Consider the following 8,615-nt stretch of genomic DNA (forward strand, 5'->3'; position numbering starts at 1 on the left):
TGGATTTGTGGTTTTTGCTATGCTATCCAATATGGTAGTCACTAGTCATATGTGGCTATTTACATAAATCAATATAAATTGAACAGAATTTAAAAATCAGCTATTCAGCTCCTGGAGCTCATTAGCCACATTGCAATACTAACATGTGGCTCATAGCGACCTTAGTGAACAGACAGACATATGGAATATTTCCATCATCTCAGAATGTTTGATAGATTCTCCCTTGTTTTTTTTCTCTCTCTTTTTCTTTACTTCTTTCCTTTTTTCTTTGTCTCTGGTTTTCTGTCTTTCCTCACTTTTTTGGCCCAATAAAATCTCCTATGGTCTGAATTTTGCGTAGAGTATTTCCTTGATGTCATTTAACATATTTCTCTATCCCTTGTGCTTTTTTGTAAATTGTAGTAGTTATATCTACGGGTTTGATATCATACTTTTCCTTTTTCTTTCTTTTTTTTTTTTTTTTTTTTTTTGAGACAGAGTCTTGCCCTGTCACCCAGGCTGGAGTGCATGGCGGGATCTCTGCTCACTGCAACCTCCACCTCCAGGGTTCAAGTGATTCTCCTGCCTCAGTCTCCCAAGCAGCTAGGACCACAGGCAAGTGCCACCACTCCCAGCTAATTTTTTGTATTTTTAGTAGAGACGGAGTTTCGCCGTGTTAGCCAGGATGGTCTCCATCTCCTGACCTTGTGATCCACCTGCCTCAGCCTCCCAAAGTGCTGGGATTACAGGCATGAGCCACTGCACCTGGCCTTTTTTTTTTTTTTTTGGCAAGAATACTTCACAAGTGAAGTTGTGGATTTCCTATTTCATCAAGGCAGGGACACAAAATGTCTGGTTATCTCTCTTTTTGTTGTAAAGTTGATCTATTAAAACTAACAGTTTAAGTCCGGGTGTGGTGGCTCATGCCTGTACTCCCAGCACTTTGGGAGTCTGAGGTGGGTGGATCACCTGAGGCCAGAAGTTCGAGATCAGCCTGGCCAACATGGTGAAACCCTGTCTCTAATAAAAATACAAAATCAGCTGGGTGTGGTGGCGGGTGCCTGTAATCCCAGCTACTTGGGATGCTGAGGCAGGAGAATCGCTTGAACCCAGGAGGTGGAGGTTGCAGTGAGCCGAGGTCACACCACTGCACTCCAGCCTGGGTGACAGAGCAAGACTTCATCTCAAAATAAATAAATAAATAAATATATATATATATATATATATACACATATATATAATGTTAATATAGCAAAAGGATTTAAGACAGCGCTGGGCACATAATAAGTCTTATATGGTATAATGTTCCTACTATTTTACTTACATAGAAGACTAGTGCTTATACTTGAAGTTTCAGACATGTTCCCTTGACAGTGAATCTAGATCTTCTGAAATATATATTCAGATATCAAGCCTTCCCTGGAGATAAATGTAACTCAAGAGCAGAAATAAATGCTTTCTCCTTGAGGAACTCTGACTCTTCTATTATTTGGTTTTTATTGTGGAGCAGTGAAATAATTTGCATCTTCCTCGTTTCCACACAGGCTCAGATACTCACAGAAGCTGGGATAAGGATTTGAGAATTGATCTCAGCAAAGTTTCTCATCCTAGTCTTTTAAATTTTTTCCCCCTGAAGTTCAACGTTACATAGCTGTTTGAAGAGAGTTCAGCCTAAAATTTCTGACTTTTACAATCATCGGATCAGGGAATTCTTCCTTCTGAAAACCAAATAGCTCTTATTTTTCCCCCAATAATAATGCTGGGGCCAGACATGGTGGCCCACGCCTCTAATCTCAGCACTTTGGGAGGCCAATTGCTTGAGCCCAGGAGTTCAAGACCAGCTGGGCCAACACAGTGAGACCCCATCTCTACAAAAAAAATTAAAAATTAGCCTGGCATGATGACGTGTGCCTCCAGTCCTGGCTACTCAGGGCAGTGAGTGGGGCCTGAAATGGGAGGATGGCTTGAACCTGGGAAGTTAGGACTGCAGGGAGCTGTGATGTGGCCACTCCAGCCTGGCTGACAGAGTGAGGCCCTGTCTCAAATCATAATAATGATGCTAGAAAATAAGCAATGATATTAGAGTTCTCAGTAATTTTTTTACTCCTTCCAATAATGCTAAGAATATCTGAAAAAGTCTATTATCCGATATTTTACTGTTAAAAATAGAATGACTCAGTGTCTCCCACCTACCCCTTTCATGCTTGGCAAATAATATTTCTTGTCAATACTAGAAGTTATTGTTTAAAAAGTTATGGGTGCTATAAGGGCAATCTTGGGGTAGAGAGAATGTTCTAGGTCTTGATTATGGTGGTAGTTACACAACTGTAACCATTTGTCAAAACATACAGAATTGTGCACTTAAAATGGCTATTTTATTATATGTAAATTATTCCACAATAAAGTTGATTTTTAAAAACTCATAGAAAATTGTTCTTAAAATGTAAGCATTTGATTGGATATAAATTATAGCTCAGTGAAGTTAATATACAAATCACAAATCATCGACTACCAAAAAAAATTTACAGATGCAAAGTCTACACTCACTCCATCCCCAACTTAACAATGGTTCAACTTAGAATTTTTCAACTTTATGATGGTGTGAAAGCAATATGCATTCAGTAAAACAGCAGTAAATTACATGAGATATTCAACACGTTATTATGAAATAGGTTTATGCTAGATGATTTTGCCCAACTGTAAGCTAAAGTAAGCATTGTGAGCATGTTTAAGCACATCATAGCTAAGCTAAGCTATGATGTTTAGTAGATTTTTGTGCCTGTATTAAATGCTTCTGTAGTGCATTAAGGAGAGAAAAGTATAATAAAAAGGGTCAAATTTGGAAAAAGAGAAAGAGCAGGAAGAATACTTATAAAGTCAGCAACTGCTGCCACAAAAATTGTGACCACCACGGAGGAAAGTTCACTGTGAGTCAGGCCTTACACCAGGGGTCCGCAATCCCCTGGGCCACGGACCATTACCACGTGGCCTGTTAAGAACCAGGCTGCATAGCAGGAGGTGTGCGGCAGGCGAAGGAGCATTATGACCTGAGTTCTGCCTTTTGTCAGATCAGTGGCAGCATTAGATTCTAATAGAAGTGCGACCTTATTGTGAACTGTGCATGCAAGGGATCTAGGTTGCATGCTCCTTATGAGAATCTAATGCCTGATAATCTGAGGTGGAACAGTTTCATCCCGAAATCATCCTCCTATCCTATGCATGGAAAAATTGTCTTCCACAAAACCAGTCCCCAGTGCCAAAAAGGTTGGAGACCTCTGCCTTACACATCACAATGTCAGAGGCAATGTCAGCAACAGACAAGAAGAATTTAGCATGCCTTGAATAGGGGCCCATGACATAAATAATATTTAGTCTTTTATTACATGATAAATCCCTGGCCCAGATACTTTCCTCAATATATAAAACATTTATACTGCTTTTAGGATTAAGGTGACATTATTCCTGTGAAAGGCATATTTGCATGTTTGTTTCACTTTCAGCTGGTGAGGGAGGGTTAACTTCAGATGACCTTTGCAAATTAGTAGCTGAGCTTTGGCATAAACCTGACTCACAAAAGAACTGCTATGCCGAGTTTTTGGTTTTCTTACTTAAGAGAAAGAAGGAAGCTGCAAATAAAATTCTGGTGATTTCCCAAAAGGATATTTGAAAGATGTGCTTGTTAAAGAACTTTACAATGGATTTTTTTTTAACATCTTGAGGGCTTGACAGTTTGCCTGAGACTTATCAAATCAGAAGTGGCCTGTCAAAGGGTGAGCAGGTGAACCCTGATCTGTGAGAGGAACAAAGTGGACAGGTAGTCCATGAACTCTATTTTCTGTACACGTCTGACCTGCTCAAGGTTTGTTTGGTTGGTTGACCCTTTAAGGACAATAAAGTCCTTGAGTTCTTAACCTAAAGGCTTGTAAATTCTTGCAGAGAACTAAAACAAGAAAATGAATAAAGGACAGCTAAGGAGACAGGATAATATGTATTTTAGGCAGGTATTATACAATGACCTATCCTTGGCTTATAATGGTGCAGTTCTCTCTTAAAATGGATGAACCCAATCCGAAGGGAATTTGTAAAGGTTAAATACTACAAAATTGAGTTGAGAGTACTGATTATAGTGAGAATAGAGTGTTAAACATATATGACACATTTTTCTCATTGAACTTTACATTTTTCAATGTAATCAAGTTAATGGAATGCATTTTGGTTAGAAGTCTAAGGGAGGCTCAGTGAGGCTTGGTTTGATGTGGTCCTTTCAGACTGGCCCTCGACCCAACTGACACAGGCTCATAGCTTCAAGAACAAGGTCAAACCTACAGAAAGCACCTGGGATGGTTTATGGCTGAAGTGGCTTGAAGTTCCACAGTAGGTGTGGTCTGGGAATTTTTCTGATGAATGTCATCTAAAAGTTCCCTTCTTTTTCCCAACAAGCTACTATTGCAAACCACAGTGTGGTCAGGAACATTTCTGCTGTAGTGTTCTCCAGGGAGTGGTCTGGCCTCATACTGCATCCAGCTGGTTAAACCGACCCCTAATTCCTCAGCCTGCGCTGTCCAATGCGGTAGCCACCAGCCACAGGCAGCTCTTGAGAACTTGAAATATGGCTAGAGTGATGCTATAAATACACTGGATTTGGATGCCTTAGCAGAAAAAAAAAAGAATGAAAAATGTCTCATTATATTGATTGTATGTTGAAATGATCCTATTTTGAATGCAGTGGGTTGAATAAAATATATTACTAAAAATAATCTCATTTGTTTCTTTTTTGTATTTTTAAATGTGGATATTAGAACATTTTAAACTACCTGTGTGCCTTGTATTATATTTATATTGGACAATACCATCTGTCCTAGTTCTCAGCCTGGCCAAGGCTCAGTTCACTCACTTCCCCGTGCAGTGCCCAAGTGTGATCTTCAGCACCTTTTCTCTCTCTCAGACTTAGGAGGCTCTATCTTGGAATAGGGGTTGTGCCTCCACAGGGATTTGGGTTGGGGTTGCCAGCCCCTTTCCACTCATTTGCGTCCTCCTGGGTCCCAGCCCTTGATATGTCTCTGTAGCCTCCAGTTTTCTCCCGAGCCTGCTCCCTCCCTCCTTCCTCACGGCATGCTCTCGGACTGGGGCAGCACAGCAAGCCTCTGCTGATTCCAGACTCTCATGCCATCTTCCTTCAAGAAATGGATCTAAAGGAAAGTCATTAATTGGAGTCCAGTTGAATAAGTACCAAAATAGAAGGAGGTATCTTTTTTTGTCTAGATAAAAGTTTTGTGCTATCTATATTTCCCTTAAATACACTGTTTCATTTTCCTTTTGACAATGAAGAATACGTCATGATATTTTGGATCATGCCTGTAATCCCAGCATTTTGGGAGGCCGAGGCTGGCGGATCACCTGAGGTCAGGAGGTCAAGACCAATCTGGGTAACACGGTGAAACCTCATCTCTACTAAAAATACAAAAGTCAGTGGGCGTGGTGGCACACGCCTGTAATCCCAGCTACTCAGGAGGCTAAGGCAGGAGAATCGCTTGAAACTGGCAGGCGGTGGTTACAGTGAGCCGAGATCGCACCATTGCGCTCCAGCCTGGGCAACACAGCAAGACTCTATCTCAAAAAAAAAAAAAAAAAAAAGAATACGTGATGTTTTCTAGATCTGCTTTCTCAATACATTCATTTTCTCCAGGAACCACATTTAAATCCCTTTTCAGTGCCTGCCAGGACCTTCATGCTCTGGGTGCCTGACTGTCTCTGCAGCCTCTTTGTAGGCCACTTTCCTTGCCCATCAATCAAGGCCAAGGCCTTTCTCCTTCCCCAAATGCACCACACCAAGCATCCAAACTGTGTTCTTTGCTCTCCTGGAATACTTGACCTTCAGAACATCACCCCATTCGCCCTCCTCTCTTCTCCACCTGCTTATATTAGCCACACACAAATGTAGCTAGTAGAGCAAGTACTTAGAATTTTTGTACAGTGAAATAAATAAACCAATAAAACCCTCAAAGATATTACAAAATTTGATAAGTGAGATTCATGGCTAGCGAGTTAAAAAAACTATACCTGATGCAAAATGCCATCCTTCAGAAAGGACAGAAGGGTGGCACCTTGTATTTGGAAGTGTTTTGTCTATAAATAAAGCAGAGATCTGAGAAAGGAAGTTAGACGTGGAAGTATTTTTAAAAGGGAGGAGAGAAAGATACACACACAGTGTTGAGGGTGTATTCCATTAACGGACTGGTTTTGGGTGGTTTTCCAAAAGCGTCTTGTTTATTTACATATTTTACTTAGTAAGGGATTTGTATCATCCTTTATACCTTGTTTATCTCATTTATTTACTTGCTAAATAATTTGTGTCATGGTCTGAAAGTATCTTGCTTATTTCTGTATTTGCTTGTTTATTGCAGATCAGATTGTGGTGCTCCTTTGAAGAAAACCATCCAATTAGTCCCTCAGAAGCACCATAAATAAAAGCCATTTCCTCACTCTGACTCACCAACTTCTCACATGTCCCTTGCCAGCCACACCCCAGCTACACACAAACTTCGTTCAATCTGCGGAACACTCAGAATTTATTCCCAACTAAGACTCTTTGCATGGGCTGTTCCCTCTGCTATTGATAGGAGAAGTCAGCAAATTTGCAGGATACGGAGATTCGCTTACAAAAAAATCAATTATTATATATTCTGGCTGGGCATGGTGGCTCACACCTGTAATCCTACCACTTTGGGAGGCCAAGGTGGGTGGATCACCTGAGGTCAGGAGTTCAAGACAAGCCTGGCCAACATGGTGAAAACCTGTCTCTACTAAAAATACAAAAAAAACAAAAATTAGCCAGGTGTGGTGGCGGGTGCCTATAATCCCAGCTACTTGGGAGGCTGAGGGCAAGAGAATCGCTTGAACCGGGGAGGTAGAGGTCTCAATGAGCCAAGATTGCACCATTGCACTCCAGCCTGGGCAACAAGAGTGAAACTCCGTCTCAAAAAAAAAATCATTTATTATATATTCTATCTTCTTACAACATACAATTTAGAAATGAGGTTTTAGAAGATATCATCTAAAATAGCATGAAAATAAGTTGTGCAAGTAATGTGTTTTGTGATTAATAACGTGATACAATCCTGTGAATAATCTGTTTTCTATTAGTAAGATTCAAAGTCACCCCTATGACAACATCATTTAAATGCACTTATTTTCTGATGTTTCAAGAGATAGACTAGTTCTCATTTACTGAGGTGTGACATTGCAGTTGTCTGTCTTTTTTCTAATCACTCTAACCATGGATAAATTTACATTAAGTAAGAAGATCAGGGATAGAACAAACTATGGACAGTGCATATACCTCTCCATGTTAGAAGTACAATAATTATGCTGTGAAAATCCTCGTGAATAAGAAAATGATTGGTGTGAGCCTGCCTTGGAGAAGGGAGGCCAATCACCAATTTTATTGTATCTAAATTTGCATTATTGAAGGCAGGACGTTGCAGAGTTTCTTCCCACTGTAATTAAATGGGTAATTTTTTTTGTTTTTTCCATGAAATTACCTTTGAGATTGTGGATACACACACACACACAAATGAACTATATTAATGTACTCCTTGACTTCCCCCCAAAAATATGCAACACTGTATACTTCATTCAATATGTGTGTGTTGGGGAGTGAGTAGTATCAATTTCAGATATGTCCACAGATCTCTGGGGTTCCTCATGTGAATGCCATCTGTCATGTGTCCTGTGCTCAAATTGTGGCTTCACCCCTTAGCAGCTCTGTGACCTTGTGCAAGCTAATTAACCTCTCTGGGCCTCAGCTCTGCATCTGAAAAGAGAGAGTCAAAATAGTCCCTACTTCACAGGTTTGGTGTAAAGACTAAACAAGTGAATGCATGTAAGGTCTAGGACACAGCCTAGTGCATAGCAGATGCACAATAAATGTTAGGTATGACTATTACTGCACTGGAAATTTACACAGCCTCAGGCTTCGAGTCTCATGCCAGACAATTCTGCCACTGAGCTTCAGGGAACATTGGTTGGGTGATTTGCCATCTATAAAGGAGACAGCTGCTGTGGCTATTGGTCACAGAGATTAGCAGTCTGACTAGGTACTTTTTCCTTCCTCCATAACTTTATCCCCCGGGAACATGGAATACAGGATCACTCATCCTTTCTCCCTCAGTGCATCACCTCACCCACCTAAGAAAATCGCCAGGCCAGAGACTGAATGCTTCTTTGTCCTGACATCTCCCACATAGAGAGAACTGAACCAAAGGGCATTGCTGCCACCTCTCCATCATTCATCCTGGCACAGTGGACCTCTCCAGACCTTCTTACAACTATAATGAAGCACGAACTAGGAAGCAAACACCGAACAGGATGGAAACTGAGCCACTGTGACACATTTTTAAACACCTTCCCCAGCTCTCCCGTATCTCTGAGCTTGTTCCCCTTCACAATCTCCATTAGTAGCAGCGATCTTATAATCACAGTCGTATGTGTCAGTAGAGAGGAAACACTAATTTATTAAATCTGTCATGCTGGTTTTCTCTAACAAAACAACCAGGGGTCAGTTCTGTAGGTGTGAACACATGCACACACATAGATACAAAGATACAGACACAACCACTGCCTAAAATCTAAGACAG

Source organism: Homo sapiens, chromosome 2, assembly GCF_000001405.40.
Source record: "Homo sapiens chromosome 2, GRCh38.p14 Primary Assembly".
NCBI classification, from domain to species: domain Eukaryota; kingdom Metazoa; phylum Chordata; class Mammalia; order Primates; family Hominidae; genus Homo; species Homo sapiens.